The sequence below is a fragment of the Homo sapiens genome, chromosome 16 (genome assembly GCF_000001405.40).
Source record: "Homo sapiens chromosome 16, GRCh38.p14 Primary Assembly".
Classification (NCBI taxonomy): Eukaryota; Metazoa; Chordata; class Mammalia; order Primates; family Hominidae; genus Homo; species Homo sapiens.
In genome coordinates, this window is record NC_000016.10 from 59854354 (window position 1) to 59876479 (window position 22126).

General features: G+C 38.1%; 1 long non-coding RNA gene across 1 annotated transcript in view; it reads left to right on the forward strand.

The window, feature by feature from the left end:
• Window positions 1–999: 999 nt before the first annotated feature.
• Window positions 1000–22126, forward strand: part of LINC02141 (long intergenic non-protein coding RNA 2141) — a 198621-nt gene continuing 177494 nt past the window's right edge. Inside the window, exon 1 of the long non-coding RNA NR_110917.1 lies at window positions 1000–1172. This is a non-coding gene — a long non-coding RNA (long intergenic non-protein coding RNA 2141). The remainder of the gene's footprint in view (window positions 1173–22126) is intronic.

Below are 22126 nucleotides of genomic sequence, written 5' to 3' on the forward strand. Positions count from 1 at the left end.
GGAAAAAATGATCATCACTAGTTTTATAAATGACTTAAGATTTTTTTTTGAATGGATGCTCACTAATGTACTAAATCCCACACCCACCAGCACCATAACAGTTCTGGGAACATTCGTATTTGGTGTAAAAATGAGTGACACCATGGTTCTGAGAAATCTTCACTTTTTTCCAGAAATCTTTTTGAATATTCTACCCTTTGGTTAAAGAAACCTGTAAAGATAGGAACCCCAAACTTGAGTATGTCCGAACTCCCTTTTCTTGAGTGTGTATTTTAGCTTTGCTGTTAATTCCCATACTTTCAGTATTCCCTGATTTGTTCTTGATTTACCTCTGGTAACAAACGGTGTCTAAAAGCCTGGACACTGGCCTGGGTAAAGGTCCCGCTTGCATTTGGGGATCTCTCTTATCCCACTGGTGTCACTTAGACAGATGGCGTTATTTCTCTGAAACCCTTTCTTATATTAAAATGAGAATAATCATAGTTTCATAAAGTCATTTTAAGGATTGGCTATGATATGTCAAGTATTTAGCATAAATATAGGATGAATGAAGGGCAGTGGTGGTGCTGGTGGTGATGACGATGGTGTTGAAGATAATGATGCTTAATATGCCTATGCAAGAGGGAAGGGAGAAGCAAGTCTGATTTTTCCATCTTCTTTTAGAAATGCTGCCATCAGCAAAATTCATACTAGCCAAGAGAGATTATGTGTGGTTCAGGATCTCTGGAAGAGCATCAGGGATTGCAATGAACTGAGAACCATCCTAGGTTGGTGTGGGGGGTCCACAAAAGGCACAGGAGACGGACTAGGAAGAATGTTCCTCAGACAATGAGATTTTGGTTACACATATTCAAATCTGTGTGAATCTGGCATCAGGAGAAACAGCTCATTAGTATTTAATGCTGACACCGTGAATTCTGAATTATTTTGTGTCAATTAAACCTCATAAGATAACTGTGAGCTAAGGGTGCTTAACAAGGTATGAGGTGTTGAGGACACAGAAGAGTGCAGTATGTTTGATGGTCCTGCTTGAGCCATTTGCTCCAATTGGATCTGGTAAAAGTAGCGTGCTTGGAGACATATAAACATTTTAAAGAGACGGGAGACGTTTGATTGGACCTGAATAGAACTGCCATCTGTAAGAGATTCTGCACAAGTCCTGTGGGCAAAAGGTGAGTGAAAACTATAGGAGGCAAGTTTCAGGTTAGCACAAGGGGATAGAAATACCTAATAATCATAATAAAATTTATAGTAATACTAATAAAAGTATTTTAAGGTAGCATGGGCCACTAAATGTGTCCTATCCTTTCCTTAAAAGCATCCAAAAGATGCCAGGTATCCACTAAAAATATATATATTTTTAGAAGGAAAGACCTGCTGTGAGTGCAATATTGAGCTATATTACTCAAAGATTACCTTCAACCCCAAGATTTAAGAACTTTGATAGAGTAAGCTATTCATTTTACATGGTGTTTGTATTTTCACTTTATTAATACCTCCAATAGGTTGACTCTGCGAGTGCTGGCAAAACACAGTGAAGAAAACCAAAATATTTCACTACAAAATATACTTCTTTGACATATTAACAGAAGTTGCCTTGCAATGCTGTTTTATGTGGGGGGAGATTTGCATCTGTAGAGAATCTGTACTCTACCCCTTTCCCCTAACCTGGCCACGTCTTTGAGTTCTTATATTTTGTATGACTCATATGCATGTTATTAGATGCATATGCCTTTTCTCCTATGTTAAAAGAAAAATATTAGACAAATTAAATTTAACAATTTAATTGAGTAAAGAACAATTTGCAAATCAAGCAGCCTATACCCTGAGCCAGAATAGCTTTAGAGACTCCTGTGCTGTCCTTTGGTTGGAGAGGATTTATGGACAGAAAAGTGCCATAAACGAAACAGAAGTGAGGTACAGAAACAGCTGGATGGGTTACAGCTCAGTGTTTTTCTTATTTGGTTGGTGCCCTGTGATTGGCCAACACTTGATGATTAGTACAAAATGAGTTACAGCGCATTTATGTATAGTTTACAGGTCACTGTATATGGAGAAACCTTTAGGCCATACTTCCGAGGAGACAGCTTTAGGTTAAACTTAATTTAACACCTATTAATCTGCCTTTTGCCAATTGACTTTTCAGTGAATCTTCAGGGGGCAAAGGGGAAGTTTTCCCTTGGCCGCTACAACAAAGATGGGCAAAATAGCAACTCTTACCATTATAAATTTTTAACTAAGTATGTAAACTTAACTTTTCTTAAAAGAAATAACCAAATCCCATCCTAACATGTATCTTGTGTTTTAAAAGTATCTATTTTATTCTTTCCCTGCCTTAGTCTAATTAATGGCTGCTGGGTATTGTAAGCAGGTCAGGTGTATTCTTCAAGTATTTTATGCATAATAGAGGTTGAGATAATGTTTTTAATCTAAGGTAACAGAGATGATTATTACTTAATAAATGGCTCTGACTTTGTGTATTTGTGCAAATTTAAGAGCTAGAAAATCATGTTTGGGAATAGAGAATTTTGAATTACCTAAATTTTCCCAGTAATTTGATAACAATTATTTCTCATTCAGTAATTATTTTTTGAGGTGCTTTTTTTTTTTTTTGGTCAAAAATACCTCTTTATTTTTATAACTTTCTTTATATTGCTCTCATTTCCTGGTTTACCTTGTTTCATATATAACTCTTAAATAAGGTTTTAATTAGACAAAGATATTTTACCTTAATAAGAACATTAAAAAATTTCTTAAATTGGAAATTACCCAGAAACTTAGTATCAAATAATAACCTTAAATCCTAAATTATGACAAGTGTGTTTACAAGCATTTATTCCATTACATTTACCTGATTAATTTAGTAGTTTACCTAGGTTATTTGCAAAAAAGTGATAGCCAATATTTTAAGTTATTTTTCTATTAATGATTTTTATAGCTGTGAATTTGAGGTGTTTACTTAAGTAATAAAACTTATGGTTAGTTTTAAGGATATTTATACCAATATTTCAGTATTTAGCTGTTTTCATTTAAGCTAACAATATTTCATAAGCATATACAATCAAAGATCACTCTGTCTTGGGCTGGATTTTATAGTTTATAACACTTATGGCAAATCTTATAGTATTCTGTGGGAATAAACATGAAACCATTTGATCAATAGATGCAAAAAAATTCTAACAATTCTAAAGACATTGCTGATATTATTTTACCAATAATTTTAAAGCTGGCTAGATCCTTACTAAAATAAAATCTTATTTAGTAAAGATTTTACTTAAGTCACATGAACTTGAAAAAGCATTTGACTAGTGTTTTTTGTTTAGTATCTGATTTAAGCACTTTTTAAAGCCAATTAATTAGAGCTCTTCACATGTGTGTTTGTGTGTGTATATATAGTATTTTATTTTATTTGTTTTATTTATTTTTTTGAGACAGAGTCTTGCTCAGTCAGGCAGGCTGGAGTGGCACAATCTCAGCTCACTGCAACCTCTGTCTCCCGGGCTTAAGCAATTCTCCTGCCTCAGCCTCTGGAGTAGCTGGGATTACAGGCATGTGCCACCATGCCCGGCTAATTTTTGTACTTTTAGTAGAGATGGGGATTCACCGTGTTGACCAAGCTGGTCTTGAAGTCCTGACCTCAGGTAATGTGCCCACCTCGGCCTCCTGAAGTGCTGGGATTACAGGCATGAGCCACTGGGCCTAGCCTCTTCATATATTTTTAGTCGTGAAAATATTGTTTACACACACATAAATATATACATGTATTAGGCATGCTGGTAGAAGCACATCACATAGACTCATAAAGATCTTTTTGTTTTTGCCATTTTAAAAAATCTTACCCTAGGCAGTTGTCAGCTAAATCATCTTAAATTTGCATATTAAAGGCAACTCAGGTGAAATCAGATAGCAAAATTTACATCATAAGGTATGAAGAGAAAGTCTGGTATGCTAGAGGTGCTAAAAATGTAATAAAATAAAATCTTAATGATTGCCAAGAGCGGAATGAATTACAACTATAATCTCATTGCCACTCAGGAGTAGGGAATTAGAATAGTCTAATGGTGTCTATGGCATGTGTGAGGTGGACACTTCCATACGATGAGGAGCGTTTTCTATAAATGATTGACTGGGTCCTATCTCTGGTGTGTGACTGGAACATCCTGGATGCCACACGTACCCCAAAGTGGGTAGCACACAAATTTACATTTGCATCCATCTGTGTCTTTTTGACTATCTCTGTTATTAGTCTCCTGGTGGCTCACCATCCATGGGAAAATGAAGCAGCTCAGAAATGAACTCATTAGCTCTCTTATGCATCTAATAAGGCGGTGATAACTACAGATTTCAATCTGTAGTCCCCTGTAGAGTAATTCTCATTTTTCTAACCTGTCATCAGATAACATTAAGGTCTCAGTGAAAAACAATTGTCTTTCCAAATCGTCTTTCGGGTAGCTAAAAGTAAGAATTAGGCCACTTATTTGTCTGATTTTCCTAACTAGAGGTAATAAGCTTGTAAGGAAAATAAAATTTGGTAATTATACATATCAAATGTCTAACATGTTCTCTGGAAAGGTAAATTATATGTTGTCATACAAACATACAATAGGCAGAATTTCTCAATTACTGTGTAATGAACATTCTGAGAGGAAGGCAGAAGAATATGAAAATGTAACTACAACATCTTAATACATGACATTCTGGTGTCTTTTTTTGCATTTTCTTTTTTTATTTTTGTTGTTACTATTATTATTATTATTATTATTATTATTATTATTATTATTATTGAGACAGGGTCTCGGTCTGTCATCCAGACTGGAATGCAGTGGCACAATCTTGGCTCACCACAACCTTGGCCTCCTGGGCTTAAGTGATCCTCCTACCTCAGCCTCCATTCTGGTGTCTTTAATTGAACCCCTGAAACAAAATTCTCTACTATTCCCACCCCCACAAATATTATGTGACAAGTATTTTACAATCACTTCTATTTCAGAGGAATTCTAGATATTCCTGCACTGGAATGTTATAGCAATGTCTTAGATTAATTACTCAAAACATTTCAGCAATCACAAGATTTGATTTATAATCACCAATAAACCATATATAATTAATATTGATGACATATGAAATGTAGCTTCCATTGTGTACATTTATCCAATAATGGCATGAGATGGTCACTATCCTGATTGTAAGTTTTACTGAAGGTCATGTGGTAAGTCAGGAGTGTTCTTCACAAACAGAAATATCTCAGGTAATGAATTGAATTTTAAGCCTTTGAATGATGACACATACATACACAACCTGAATTTTTTAAGCCTTTCAGCAAGTATAAATCAAAGCACATTCAATGTTTAGGCTTGGAAATTCAGCTCAGCTTCAAGTTGGGCTTTGTGGTTGATTATCCTTTTCCAAACTGTTCAAAGACATCATCAATCAGATTTGAGAATCCTGGAATGAGTATTAAACTCAGCACATGAGTAGATTAGAGTCCAGCAATGAAAAGAAATGTATATTTTGATTTATTTCATTAGGGTTGCTTTCTGAAGACATTACAGATTGCAAAACTGTTCTCCTGCATTACCATGATGAGATCATTCTGCAGAAGTGGTGCTAATGTCTGTATTTAACAGAGAACGTTTGCAGTGATAGATAGAAACCAAAACATAAAATCTGCAAATCAATATGTTTCTGGTTATTTCTAAGTGTTACCCACATTTGCTGGAGACTGAATCTACTTTCAACCAGGGAAAATATATTAGCAAGAACATCCTGAGAATTAAATTATAAATGTCTGTTATAGATTTTCAATGTTTCGCAATCATGATCTTGTGAATAGTTATTTCCTGTGGCTTTGGCCCATTGCAGTTTACAATTTTTTCTTTCCCAATAGCTAACTATGAAGTGGACGGTAGTAACTATGATCATTATTTTTTTCTTTTTTATCCTTTGCTTTCTACATTGCTCTTGATGTCTTAATAGAAACACATCTTATTAGAGTAACATCACTGTCAGTCATTTTATAAACTGCTGATACTAGAATCAGGTCTAAAAGCTAGCTCATGCCTGTAATCCCAGCACTTTGGGAGGCCGAGGCAGGCAGATCACGAGGTCAGGAGTTCGAGACCAACCTAGCCAACATGGTGAAACCACATCTCTACTAAAAATACAAAAATTAGCCGGGTGTGGTGGTTGTGCGCCTGTAATCCCAGCTACTCAAGAAGCTGAGGCAGGAGAATCCCTTGAACCCGGGAGGTGGAGGTTGCAGTGAGCTAAGATCACGTTGTGTAATCTTACGAAGTTTATCAGCCTTTTGGAAGGTCTTGGTCTGGTCCCTAAGGTTATGTTAGATCCTTGACATCTACTAAATTCCATTAAATGATGCACCCTGAAGGACGCAGGAAGCATTGACATTAGAGTAAAGGAATAACTGACATTAAAGTAAACGAATAATTGTCTAAAATTTAGGCCAATGCTAGTAATTATAATAATAAACAACTGATGGTATTTGAACTTTTCCTATATGATATGCCAGATGGAAATACTTATTTAACATGGATGATCTTAATTCTCATGATCTGCTCAACCTTATGAGGTAGGTACTATTATTAACCTGATTTAGAAGTTGGGAAACTGAGGCTAAGGAAAGTAACATCTCCCCCAAAGTAGTATGACTGCTAAGAGTCAATATTAGGATCTGGTTGTAAGCATCTACCTTCAGGAATAGCACTTGTAACGCAGCTGTGCGAAGACCAGCTGTCTGAGTGTCTGTGTAGAGGCATGTGAAAATGCCACATGATGTTTTACCAAACATGTTCTGGTCTCACCCAAAGCACCTGGGACCAGTCTGGCAGCATGGTGCCCTGGTTGGATGGGTAAGGATGCAATAGAAGAAAAGAGAGAGATGAAAGTATTTTTTCTTATCCATATTAATTAGACTACTAAGGACCCTGACTTGTAGTACAGTTAAATGGTATTCAAACTAGAAATGCTTAAAATTCTTTGGCAATCATTTAAAAATTGTGAAGAATATTTTTTCACTTCCCTCTAAGGGCCATTTGTTCTCACATTCTAGTATGTTAATTCAATAGAGTTGTTGGCATAAACAAAGGCGATTGATGTTATAGGCTAGTTTTAACACGATCTCATTCATAAGAATATTAAATTATTTTAGGCAAAGTGGCTGTGTCAAACTGAATAGAAATAAAAGGAAAGTGGTAATTAGACTATGTTAAAATATAACCTCCGAGGATATAAAGTATGCAAGAGCTCATCCATGAAAAATTAGACTGCAAGAGGTTATACCACATGTTAGGTTATTTTGTAAGATATCAAATTACTTCTCATGAATAAATATGACTAATAATGGTAACTATAATTTAATGCTATAATATTAAAAATACTTTTTGACTTAAAAAAACCAAACTAATTATATATTTGATCCTTTTTATTACCCAATATTAAGTTAATATGAGTTAAATGAATCATTTCTGCTAACTTTACCAAACTTTGAGAGATTCTACATTTTAAACCCTATCTACAACATATTTTAATAAATACTACTTAATGAATACTGAGATTTAAATTTCAAATGGAAATAATACACAAATTATTTTACCTTGTGGTAAGTATGTCAAGTAGCCTGACAGAGTAAAATGAGGGTCTTTCTTATGTGTCCGGTATTTTGCTAGGTCCTGAGGTTATATGACAAAATAAGAAAAGATAAAACAATTGCAAAGAGTTAGTCATATTTTAAAAACTTACCATTTTATATATATATATACAGACACATATATATATACACACACACATATGTATGGCTGCACTCCAGCCCAGGTGACAGTGCAAGACTCCGTTGCAAAAAAAAATATATCAGTATACACACACACATATATATATATATACACACACACATATGTGTATGTATACACATATATACATATATACACATATATACATAAGGTTGAGCAGATCATGAGAATTAAATAAGATCATCCATGTTTATATATGTGTATATATATGTGTATATATATACTGAAATACTTATTTAACATGGATGATCTTATTTAATTTTCGTGATCTGCTCAACCTTATGTATATATGTGTATATATATATATACACACATATGTGTGTGTATGTGTATATATGTGTGTGTATATATATATATTTTTGAATATATACACACATATGTATATATGTGTATATATATGTGTGTGTATGTATATATATATGTGTGTGTATATATATATATTTTTTTTTTGCAACAGAGTCTTGCACTGTCACCTGGGCTGGAGTGCAATGGCGCGATCTTGGTTCACTACCTCTGCTTCCTGGGTTCAAGGGATTCTCCTACCTCAACCTTCCGAATAGCTGGGATTACAGGTGCCCACCACCACGCCCAGCTAACTTTCTGTATTTTTAGTAGAGACGGGGTTTCGCCATGTTGGCCAGGCTGGTCTCTAACTACTGATCTCGTGATTTGCCTGCCTCAGCCTCCCAAACTGCTGGGATTACAGGTGTGAGCCACCATGCCCGGCCCCTTTTAATATTTTTAGCTGTGAAAATAATGCATCAAATATGATGACATCCCTGTCTCATTGATGTGAAGAACCCCCACGGGGAAATAGGCTAAGGAAAAGGAAGAATCTATGAGGGGATGGATGGAAGTGTACAGAGAAGGTGCTGTCCATTAGATTCTGGGTAGCTGATAGTCTGGGTGCTGGTTTGCTTTGAATTTCTCTCTTTCGAGGTTTTGCTCAACCTCTTCCCCATCTTGCTTTTGTCTCATGTTCATCTGCTTTGTCATTTCACTTGCTTACAATACTGTCGGAGGCGTTTGAACCAGAGAGACTCCATCTTGAAGAGGGGCTGGATAAAATAAGGCTGAGACCTACTGGGCTGCATTCCCAGACTGTTAGGCATTCTAAGTCACAGGATGATATAGGAGGTTGGCACAAGGTAGATACAAGTCATAAAGACCTTGCTGATAAAGCAGGTCTCAGTAAAGAAGCCATCCAAAACCCACCATAACCAAGATGGTGAACAGAGTGACCTCTGGTCATCCTCAATGCTATACACCCACCATGCCATGACAATTTATAAATGCCATGGCAATGTCTGGAAGTTACCGTATATGGTCTACAAAGGGGAGGCATGAATAATCCACCCCTTGTTTAGCATATCATCAAGAAATAACCATAAAAATAACCCTTGGGGCTGTTCTGTCTATGGAGTAGCCATTCTTTTATTCCTTTATTTTCATGATAAACTTGCTGTCACTTTGCGAACTCACCCTTAATTCTTTCTTGCATGAGATCCAAGAACCCTTTCTTGGGATCTGGATCAGAACCCCTTTCCAGTAACAATATCATTTGCAGAAAATTCTTAGTAGTGAGGGCACTAAGAGAATACTTCCCCTTTGCCATCTGTTGACTGAAAATCATTGACAAGAGGCAGATCCATAGGAGAAAAGGCATACAAATTTTCCTGGTCATGGTTTTATGTGACATGGGAGTCTTTAGAATGAAGACCCAAAGATACAGGGGAAACTGTTCATTTTTATGCATGGGTTCAACAACATATGGACAGCCATGTAGAAATATTTCGGGACAAAAATGAAACCACCCTGACAGGGTTGACAAGAATTGCATGTCAGTTTCTTGACAGAAATATAGTTATAATTAAGCATGAATCAGGCTGCATTCTGGCCTGTTTCCTTGTTGCTGAAAGTCAGGTAATACCAGATACCGACCCTTTCCATCCCCATTGTTCCTATAGATAGGAGTTCTGACATTAGAGTCACAAGAATGATTAAGAATTGATTTGCATCCCCATTGTTCCCACAGACAGGATTCTGACATTAGAATCATAAGGCTCCTGTTTAAGGATCCTTGGAGATGTTTTTTAGACACCGAATTCCCGAACCCAGTTTGAGGACTCCCACAGAGGAACAGGATCAGCATGTGGATACAACTTCTTCCTCTCCCTGTTCCATGACTTCACCCTGCACTCTTCAACAATCAGTGATCTCTGATCACCACACTTCAGCCCACTCCAAAATCCTTAAAAACTTAACCCCAAGTTCCTCAGGGAGATGGATTTGAGGTTTCCTCCTGTCTCCTCATTCGAGGGCCCTACTATTAAACCTCTTTCTCTGCTGAAAGCTGGTGTCTTGGTGTATTGACTTGCCATGGGTATCAGGCAATGAACCTATTAGGGTCAAAAAAAGGTTGTAACCTAATGCTAACAGACTTAGTGGCAATATCCAGCAAGACCTGTCTATCTAGATTCGTCTTGGCCTCTCTGCACATTCATTTCTCTTCTCTGAGCATGGAACATGACCCTCTCTGGAATAGGGGTCTTATGACTATAACGAAACAAGGTAGGTCAGATAATTTCTGTAAGGCCAGGTTTTACACAGGAAGGTAGGGAGGGAAATTGGAGTAATATTTTTAGGGTTTGTGGCTGGCTTGGGAGAAAAGGGGTTCTAGTTTTTTATGACTAGCCTCAGGGGAGAATGAGGGGCCAGAGACAGGAGGTCAGGGGAAGGTCAGAGAGAGTTGCTTCTGAGGACTTCATTATGTGGTATCATTTTCTCAGACCCTACATTAGCTAAAGAAACCATTGAGTAAGTTTCCTAGTAAAAAACTCCATCCCATGCACTTCTCAGGCCCAAGGATGAACAGATAAAACTACTGGCACTCTGCCTTTCCTTAACTATATTTAAGCCTATTGGGAAAATACACATAACAGCAAATAATCCAAATGCAGCAAGGCATCCGTCCCACTGTTTATAGAGTGAAGTAAGAACTGAGAAGGAAAATAAACTCAAATCAGTCAGGGGAAGGTCAGAAATTTTTCACAGAAAGCCAAGCATTTAAACTGATGATTAAAAGTTTCGTAGGTACTTACTAGAAAGTCTAGCATAAATCAGGCAGCCTAAGTGAAGAGAAATAGTGGGAAAAGTGAATGGGGGTAGTGGACAGCATAAAATATTTGGGAAATTCAAAGTTTAGCATTCCTGGAGTATGAAGCTGCATGGGTGTTGGATTTAGCAGTGGAAGGAGTTTAGTCTATGGGGATACACAGAATTATTCCTATGGAGAGTGCTGTAAATATCCAGCTGCAGGCTTCTTACCATTGTTCAAACTTCAGTGCTGTGTTTATAATCGCCAAAGGCACATTTGTCTGGAATTTCAAATATCACACATCTACAGAATGATGTCATAATTTCTCCTAAATCTACTCCTTCTCTTGTGCTAGGAACATTTTTTTAAAACCACACTATAGGCCTGGGCCCGGTGGCTCACACCTGTAACCCCAGCACTTTGGGAGGTCAAGGGGGTGGATCACTTGAGATCAAGAGTTCGAGACCAGCCTGGCCAACATAGTGAAACCCTGTCTCTACTAAAAATACAAAAATTAGCCAGGTGTGGTGGTGGGCCCCTGTAATCCCAGCTACTTGGGAGGCTAAGGCATGAGAATCACTTGAACCCGGGAGACAGAGGTTGCAGTGAGCTGAGTTCGCACCACTGCACTCCAGCCTGAGTGGCAGAGCAAGACTCTGTCTCAAAAAACAAAAAAAAACTCCATACTACACACAACTTTGAGTCACTCATGTTTGAAGTGTATTGTCCAATATACCACCAGGAGGGATAAATTATAGAAAGAAGAGTTTTATTGGCAATATTAGTTTGCAAGCCAGGAAGAGACAGTCTCCAGCATGGCCCAAGGAACTCTGTTTGAAGAGGGAAAGGGCAGTTTGGGTTTTATGGCATTATAGCACCTGTGTCACAGAATAGATGCATACATATTCAGCACTTTTGGGGGAAAAGATATACATATTTATGAGAGGAGTCAAGAACATGTGCAATGGGTAAACATATATGTAACAAATATCCCATATTCACTGCGTGGCAGGGTTTTAACATTAAAATGAGGTAGAATGTGGTTCTTCACATCAAAAGATGACCTGTAGGACACAAAGTTTGTGTGTCGGCTCTTTAAGCTGCCTGAAACTGGCTCAAGGTCTGTAGTTGCTTTTCAGAAAAAGAAAAAAAAAAGTTTGTAAGGCTGGTCCTTTGTCCAGTAAGAGTTGTAGTGGTTTAGGTTGTAAATCTGAGTTAGGATGGGTCTGATGATGTGCCTGATAGGTCCTATTAGGGATTTTAGCAATAGTGTGGTTTTCTTATAGCCATAGGAATTTAGGAAGATGCCACGCCAGCTGAGTCCTGAACACAAGTAGCCAACTTTTGTTTTCTTAACCTGAGGATCCATCTTAGTCCATATAGGGGTATCTATTTTGGTCTCTCAGATCACAAATCTCAAAGTCATATTGATAGGCTTTACCTCCCCAAGCCTGCCTATATCACTAGTAGCCTGTGATATTGTGAAATACAGCCATCCCTTGGTGTCCCTGGGGGCTTAGTTCCAGGACCCCCTGCAGATACGAAAATCCATGAATGCTCAAGTCTCATATACAATGCTATAGTATTTGCATATAAGCTATGCACATCCTCCTGTATATTTTAAATCATCTCTAGATTACTTATAATAACTAACATGATGTAAATACTATGTAAATATTTGTTATACTGTATTATTTAGGAATTAATGACCAAAAAAAGTCCATACATGTAGTACATGTTCAGTACAGATGCAACCATCCTTTTTTTTTCCTCAAATACTTTCGGTCCAAAATCGGTTGAATCCACAGATATGGAACCCATAGATACTGAGGGCTGACTGCATATATTTTGGATTTGATCCGCAGTTCCTGGCTCAGAGGTCCTAAAACCTCTGTAACTCTTAAGTGACTACACCAATAGAAGTATCCTTTGTTAGAATATTTGGCCTTTTGTCCTGGATTGTAGAACAGCTCTGGAGTGATAAAGGAAAGAGGAGTGTCTTTTGTTATCCCTGACAAAACCAATGATGTTGTTAAAAGACTGGAACTTTCAACCCTACCTCCACCTCCAGGGAGAAAAGAAGGACTGAAAGGCGAGTTGATCACCAGTGGCCAATGATTTAATCAATCATGTCCGTGAAATGAAGCCTCCAGCAACCCAGAGGACTGGGTGTAGTGAGCTTCCAGGCCAGGGAATATGGTTGTATCCCCTCTGGGACAGAAGCTCTCGTACTCATGATTCATCCAGACCTCACCCTATGTATGTATTGATCTCGCTGTTCATTTGTAGCCTTTAAAATAGCCTTCTGGACCAATTAGTAATTGGTGAATAAATTATCTATTTTATCCTTGAAAATCAAGCTGCGTCATGACTTCAGATATTTGGTAATATACGGGTAGATATAAGTAAAGTACTGGTAATATATGAGTAGACATAAGTAAAGTATTTCCCCGAACTCTAGTAAACATAGTAAGGGAAGCCTTCTAACTAGAGTTTACCAAATTTAAATATATACACAATTGGAGATTTTATTATGTATTACACGTAGACATAAATTTTTTTTCTTTTCATTTAAAATTATGCAACCTAATTTCAGGCCAAGAATTAGAAGATCCGGAAATCATAATATAATAAATGAATCTTAAGAATTAATTTAGCTGTCCATTTATGTTAGCATTAAAAGAGTTTGAGAAATTTAGAAGCAATATCATCTGGATATTGAGAAATAGAGCGATATCAGATGTGATATCTAGTAAAGTGTTTACTAAAGTTTTTTGAGGCACTCTAGTAAATTAGTTGAATTCCAGTAGGGGTGGTGGGATCTCTGATTTATAGCCAGTTGGTCAGAAGCACCGGTCATAATCTGAGGGTAGTGATTGGCATCTGAAGTGGGGAGAAGTCTTGTGGGACTGAGCCCTCAACTTGTGAAATCTGATGCTATCTTCAGGTAGATACTGTCAGAATTGAATTAAATTATAGGACACCCCACTGGTGTATGCTGCCAGAGAATTGCTTGGTGTGCTGGAAACACACACACACACACAGACACACACACACACACACACATGGTCATAGAAGCATTCTGTGCTGTGTGGTATGTGTGAGTAGAGAGAGGACAATTTGCTTTTTCCTGTATTTGAATGGGCCATACACAAAGACCTACAATGATTTATATTCTAGGACTTTCTGACCAAAACTACTGCAAAGATAAATAGGATTGGACCAAGTCAAGGATTCCTCCATCATGCTCTTTGTAGTTCTTCTGCAGTTCTTAATGTCTGGAACATTCTCATTGCCCATCACATTCCCTAATCTAATGCTGAATTCACAGATCTCATTAAACTTTTTTACAGGTTTTTAAAATGTGACATTCTTCTCTGAACACCTATAGTACTTTAATATCTTCATTTTTTTTAGGAGAGCGGAATTTATATTTATTTTATTTTATTAAGTTTTTAAAATTTATTATTTTTTTTTTTTTTGGAGATGGAGTTTCACTCTTGCTGCCCAGGCTGGAGTGCAATGGTGCGATCTTGGCTCACTGCAACCTTCACCTCCCGGGCTCAAGTGATTCTCCTGCCTCAGCCTCCCAAGTAGCTGGGATTACAGATACCCGCCACCATGCCCAGCTAATTTTTTTGTATTTTTTAGTAGAGATGGGGTTTCACCATGTTGGCCAGGCTGGTCTCGAACCCCTGACCTCAGGTGATCCGCCAGCCTCAGCCTCCCAAAGTGCTGGGATTACAGGCGTGAGCCACTGCACCCGGCCGAGAGTGGAATTTATTTTAAAAAATCTCCCAGTTAAAAAAGAAGGGGTCCTGCCAACAGGCTCCCACCTCACAGATTAAATACCAGGCCACCACACACAGGAGCTGAAAAGGCCAGGCTCCTCCCTTCTGCATAAGGCACAAATCCCCAGTGGCTCCGCCCCATTCTCCCAGTGTGCAGGTGGGCCCCCAGTCCATGGTGGGCATGTCCACAGAAAGCCTTAAGCAAGTTCCCTCATTCACAAAAGCATCTGATGAAAACACTTGCAGGGCGGGTCGGAAATTCTCCCGGGGCCCTCTCTTACCTGCCTCCTGCATCTATCAATATCATTTGCAGTAACATGGATGCTGCTGGAAGCCATTATGCTAAGTGAATTAATGCAGGAATAGAAAACCAAATACTGCATGTTCTCATGTATAAGTGGAAGCTAAACATTGGGTACACATGGACATAAAGATGGGAGTGACACACACTGGGGACTAATAGAGGCAGGAAGGGTGGAGGGGGCAAGGTTTGAAAAACTACCTATTGGGTACTATGCTCACTACCTGGGTGAAAAGATCATTTATAGCCCAATCCTCAGCATCACACAATATACCTAACAAAGCTGCACACATACCCTGAGTCTAAAAAAAAAGTCGAAATTAAAAAAAAAAAAAAGAGTATGCGCCTCTAATCCTAGCTATATGGGAGGCTGAGGGGGGAGGATCAGTTGAGGCCAGGGGTTTGAGACCAGCCTGGGCGACGTAGTGAGACTCTATCTCTACAAAAATTTAAAAATTGGGTGGCTGTGGTGGCGCTTGCCTGTGGTCCCAGGTACTCCGGAGGCTGAGGCGGGAGTCAGCCAGGAGTTCAAGGCTGCAGTGAGCCATAATTGCACTACTGCACTCCAGCCTGGGTGACAGGGCAAGACTCTGTCTCAAAAATATATATATAAATAAGATAAATAAATAAAATTTAATTTTTTTTTTTGAGACAGAGTCTCACTCTTTTGCCAGGCTGGAGTGCAGTGGCACAATCTCAGCTCACAGCAACTTCCACCTCCCAGTTCAAGCAATTCTCCCGCCTCAGCCTCCTGAGTAGCTGGGACCACAGGTGCGCACCACCATGCCCAGCTAATTTATATATATATATATATATATATATATATATATATAATATATAAATATATATGTATAATATATATAAATATATAAATATATAATATAATAAATATATAATATATATAATTATATATATATAATAAGTTCTAGGGTACATGTGCACAACGTGCAGGTTTGTTACATATGTATACATGTGCCATGTTGGTGTGCTGCACCCATTAACTCGTCATTTACATTAGGTATATCTCCTAATGCTATCCCTTCCCCCTCCCCCACCCCACAACAGGCCCTGGTGTGTGATGTTCCCCTTCCTGTGTCCAAGTGTTCTCATTATTCAATTCCCACCTATGAGTGAGAACATGAGGTGTTTGGTTTTTTGTCCTTGTGATAGTTTGCTGAGAATGATGGTTTCCAGCTTCACCCATGTCCCTACAAAGGACATGAACTCATCATTTTTTATGGCTGCATAGTATTCCGTGGTGTATATGTGCCACATTTTCTTAATCCAGTCTATCATTGTTGGACATTTGTGTTGGTTCCAAGTCTTTGCTATTGTGAATAGTGCTGCAATAAACATATGTGTGCATGTGTCTTTATAGCAGCATGATTTATAATCCTTTGGGTATATACCCAGTAATGGGATGGCTGGGTCAAATGGTATTTCTAGTTCTAGATACCTGATGAAACACCACACTGTCTTCCACTATGGTTGAACTAGTTCACAGTTCCACCAACAGTGTAAAAGTTTTCCTATTTCTCCACATCCTCTCCAGCACCTGTTGTTTCCTGACTTTTTAATGATCACCATTCTAACTGGTGTGAGATGGTATCTCATTGTGGTTTTGATTTGCATTTCTCTGATGGCCAGTGATGGTGAGCATTTTTTCATGTGTCTTTTGGCTGCATAAATGTCTTCTTTTGAGAAGTGTCTGTTCATATCCTTCGCCACTTTTTGATGGGGTTGTTTGTTTTTCTCTCGTAAATTTGTTTGAGTTCTTTGTAGATTCTGGATATTAGCCCTTTGTCAGATGAGTAGATTGCAAAAATTTTCTCCCATTCTGTAGGTTGCCTGTTCACTCTGATGGTAGTTTCTTTTGCTGTGCAGAAGCTCTTTAGTTTAATTAGATCTCATTTGTCAATTTTGGCTTTCGTTGCCATTGCTTTTTGTGTTTTAGACATGAAGTCCTTGCCCATGCCTATGTCCTGAATGGTATTGCCTAGGTTTTCTTCTAGGGTTTTTATGGTTTTAGGTCTAACATGTAAGTCTTTAATCCATCTTGAGTTAATTTTTGTATAAGGTGTAAGGAAGGGATCCAGTTTCAGCTTTCTACATATGGCTAGCCAGTTTTTTAGGGGCTTCCTGTGTTCTGCTAGTGTTATATTTCAGAAAGAGAAACATGCACAACTATAATTATAAGGTTTTAAAGAGAGATACTGAGACTCACCCATTTACTTTGTTATTTCCAACAGTTTTTAATCTTTGGTTGAATTAAAAATAAAAAGGCGCATGAACACAAACTACTAAATGTTAACTTTTAAAATTCATATATTTGTTTGGAAGATCAAGGCAAGTTCTCTGCAAGGAACACTGGGATGCTGACAAGTTACATTGATCTATTATAATGATCCTAGCTACTTGGATTGGCATGGCAGATTAAAGTTTCTTTGTAAATTGAGAGATCTGGGCTGGGCATGGTGGCTCACGCCTGTAACCCCAGCACTTTGGGAGGCCGAGGCGGGCGGATCTCTTGAGGTCAGGAGTTCAAGACCAGCCTGGCCAACATGGTGAAACCCCATCTCTACTAAAAATACAAAACTTAGCTGGTCATGGTGGCGGGTGCCTGTAATCTCAGCTACTCAGGAGGCTAAGGGAGGAGAATCACTTGAACCCGTGAGGCAGAGGTTGCAGTGAGCTGAGATCGCACCACTACACTCCAGCCAGGGCAACAGAGCAAGACTCTGTCTCAATTAAAAAAAAATAAAAATAAAAATAAATAAATAAATTGAGAGATCTGGAACAATGGGAACAGCACCACATCCTATATTACTTTCTTTTCCTCAGAAAATCTGCTACACATTGTGTATCTACTATGCATTTTCCCTTGGAAAATTGAGTTTTCCTCTCTCCTATTCATTCAACTCAATACAAATTTCCATGACTCAATCTAATTTATTACCCACCTCGTTTGGGTGAGCAAGAAAACTTTGGGAAAATTGTCTTTGCAATAAATTATGAATATTAGCAAGATACCAACCACAGAATTAGATATAACCTGAATCACATCTGATATGTATTTCTTAATATCTAGATAATATTGCTTCTAAATTTCTCAATTTTTTTTAATGCTACCATGAATGGACAGCTAAATTAATTCTTAAGATTTATTTATTATATTTGGATCTTCCAAATCTTTTTTTTTTTTTTTGAAATGGAATCTCACTTTGTTGCCCAGGCTGGAGTGCAGTGGCATGATCTCGGACCTCAGCTCACTACAACCTCCACCTCCCGGGTTCCAGCGATTCTCTTGCCTCAGCCCCTTGAGTAGCTGGGATGCTACCACGCCCATCTAATTTTTGTATTATATTTTATTATTATTATACTTTAAGTTTTAGGGTACATGTGCACAATGTGCAGGTTAGTTACATATGTATATATGTGCCATGCTGGTGTGCTGCACCCATTAACTCGTCATCTAGCATTAGGTATATCTCCTAATGCTATCCCTCCCCCCTCCCCCCACCTCACAACAGTCCCCAGAGTGTGATGTTCCCCTTCCTGTGTCCATGTGTTCTCATTGTTCAATTCCCACCTATGAGTGAGAACATGCGGTGTTTGGTTTTTTAGACTGGGTTTCACCATGTTGGCCAGGCTGGTCTCTAACTTCTGACCTCAAATGATCCACCCATCTTGGCCTCCCAAAGTGCTGGGATTAGAGGCATGAGCCACTACGCCCGGCCTCCCAATTCTTGGTCTGAAATTACGTTTTATAATTTAAAATGAAAGGAAAAAATATTTTGTGTCAAAATCCCCAATTGCCTATTTAAATTTTGTAAACCCTGGTAAGAAGGCTTCCCTTACTATGTTTTCTACATGGCTTCAGAGATCAGAATGTAGGCTCCAAGAGCATGGTCTAGCAGGGCATATACAACGAGTTCTATATATTTTTTGTGGACCAATTAGTAATTGGTGAATAAATTATCTATTTTACCCTTGAAAATCAAGCTGCATCATGACTTCAGATATTTGGGTACTTTTGGTACTTGAGACGGATTATAGGGAAGAAGGTTCTTTACTATGCCAAATTCATAACTTTAATAGTAGCCTTTCCTTCCTCCCACGAGCCAGAAACTCTGCAACTCTGTCACACACACAATGTTACTTCATCTCAAATCTTCCTGGGTTATTGATCAGTTTCTGCATGAGAAATGGAGTTCCCGTAAGGAAAAATAACTCGCCCAATGTTACTCAGAAAGTTAACTGCAAGCATGATATTGAAACTGAAAGCTCTATCCACCTTAGCACACTACCTCCATTCCAAGCTACAACAAGCTGTATTCTAGCCTATCTTACTCTCTAGAGTTATTCCTAATAATTCCCTTCCTCATGGCCACGTAGTGTTGTATCTCTCAGTCAATACTACTGTGCTAGAGTCTCCTTATACTTTATTCCATCAATATATTTTTTATTAGACACCTTCCTAAAGAGCTCTCAAATTCATCCACTCATCTTTGCTTTAATTATAGCTGTCATCTTATTCCAAACTACCATTAATTTTATCCAGAAGAATGCAATGACTTTTTTTTTCTTTCCCCAGACGGAGGAGTCTTGCTCTGCCACCCAGGCTGGAGTGCAGTGGCGCGATCTCAGCTCACTGCAACCTCTGCCTCCTGGGTTCAAGCGATTCTCCTGCCTCAGCCTTTTGTGTAGCCGGGACCTCTTTATTGGTTTTATCAAAGACCTCTGGACCATCTCCAATATTTTCACATCACCCTGCCTACCCTCTTCCTCATTGGCATTAACCCATCTGTGGATTCCCATTGCTCTGAAAAGAAAAAATATATATATTTACGAGACCTACAAGGCCACTGCAAGCTTCGTCCTGTCTAACCCTCAAATCTAACCTCACATCAGTTTGTACTTTGCTATTTGACTTAATTTTTTAAAGTATTTATTTCTTAATAATTCATATTACATAACATATTTGGGGGTATGTACCACTGACTTTATATTCAACATGATTCCAATGCTCAGGCCCTGGAATTAGTCTGAGTATAAATCCTACTTTGGCTTACCTGGTGTGGGGGTTTGTCATCTTCAATTCCTTCTTTTTCTTCAATTTTATTATTATAAAGTGGGTGCTAATCATAGTAACTATCTCATAAGGCATTTGTGAGAACTAAATAAAATAATATAGGAAAAATGATTAATGCACTCAAGCACTGTATCTTTTATGTTTATTTAATTAATGTTCACCCCCTTCATGGAGTTGAGATTTTTAAGGTAAATGACAGCACACATTATGTCTGGTGTTCATTACCATGTATCACAAGTGCTTAGGATAGAGCTGACATAGTATCTTGATAAATGCTTATTAAATGAGAGAATAAATGACTGGATTTAAGTTTTACAGCAAAACTGGTAAGATTGTCTGAGCTGAGCCCCTTCATCTGCCAAGTATATGCCTCGCATTTTTTGAAGACCCAGCGTGTAGCTTATTGCCTCTTTGAAATCTTTCTGTGTTCTCTGGGGTATTGAAGAACTCCTACTGAGATAACTCCACCTACCTTATGCAAAATTCTATAATTACCTTTGTAACACTTCGTATGTTAAATATTTTTACAGCTATTTCTCTTGAGATCAGAGTATTCAGGTCAAATGATGAATTAGAGAAAGTTTCTTCTCTCTAAAAATTTACAAAGTAGTCAGGGAAGACAACTGTTTATTAATTCATTCATCCAGTGAAGTAGTAGGGATACTATGGTGTTTATTGTACTGGAAGAAAAAAGAACAGAAAAATTAACAAGTAAGTGTAATGATGGAGATAGATAAGGGATAAGTGACTTGTATAAAGAATAACAGAAAAGGATTTTCTTTAGGTTAGAATAACTTTAATGAAGCAATGATATTTAGCTGGAACTCATTGACAGGAATAAGGAGCCAGAGAGAGAAGTAAAGATATGATTGTGGTCTCAAAGCATAGCAAGAGACTGGCCCACTGAGGACACCTGATGCTTGCTGTCAGAATGAAAGAAGTAAGATATGGTGGGGACAGGGAGTAAGGCATAAAGAAAAGCAGCAAAGCATTTTTAGCATGATTTTAACTTTTCTCAATTTTCCCCAAAATCTAAAGGTAACTATTACTTAGTACTGAATTCAAATTTTTATCCTTCCATGAACATATTTTGAAATATATGTTGATGGAACATATATTTCAATATATGAATATTGAAATATTCATATGATATATGGATGATGAGTATTTGTCTCCCTGAACATCTGCATCACTTATTGGTAACACAATAACTTCGCAACTCTGGAACAAGAGATTCAGTGTGAATCAAAAATGTGTTTATTGTAGTTAACCCCTTAGTTTTGTGATTTCTTGTGAAAGTATTGCAACTGGCCAGGCACGGTGGCTCATGCCTGTAATCCCAGCGTTTTGGGAGGCCGACGGGGGGGTCAGATCACTTGAGATCAGGAGTTCGAGACCAGCCTGGGTAACATGGCGAAACCCCATCTCTACTAAAAATACAAAAAATTAGCTGAGTGTGGTGGCGTGCGCCTGTAATTCCAGCTACTCAGGAGGCTGAGGCACGAGAGTCGCTTGAACCCAGGAGGCAGAGGCTGCAGTGAGCTGAGATGGCAGCACTGCACTCCAGACTACAGCCTGGGCAACAGAGGGAGACTCCTTCTCAAAACAAACAAACAAACAAACAAACAAACAAACAAAAAACCCACCAAAACCAAAAATGTATTGCAACTGTTGAAAGAGTTGATCCCATTTAAGTATTTTCTATTTGTAAGTTCAGAATATAAAAAGAGTTAACTAGACCAAGCCCCTGTCAACTTATTACTGCATGGCTCTCAGCTGCCTTTTATCACCACATTTTCCCTTCACCATGCTTGATCAATTTGAAGATTGACACAGAACGTGTTTCGGTGATCTGCTTTAGCATCTTTACTTTATTTTGGTGTCAATCAATCCACCAACAGTTGGATCTCAAAAATGACTGTTTAGTTTATTGAAATTATAATTTTTTAATTTCTTATCCATAGTCAGAGATTCCTCAAGACTTTTGGATTTTTTTCCTCTCTTCCAAAGACTAGTGCCACTATTTTAAATCCCGGCTTT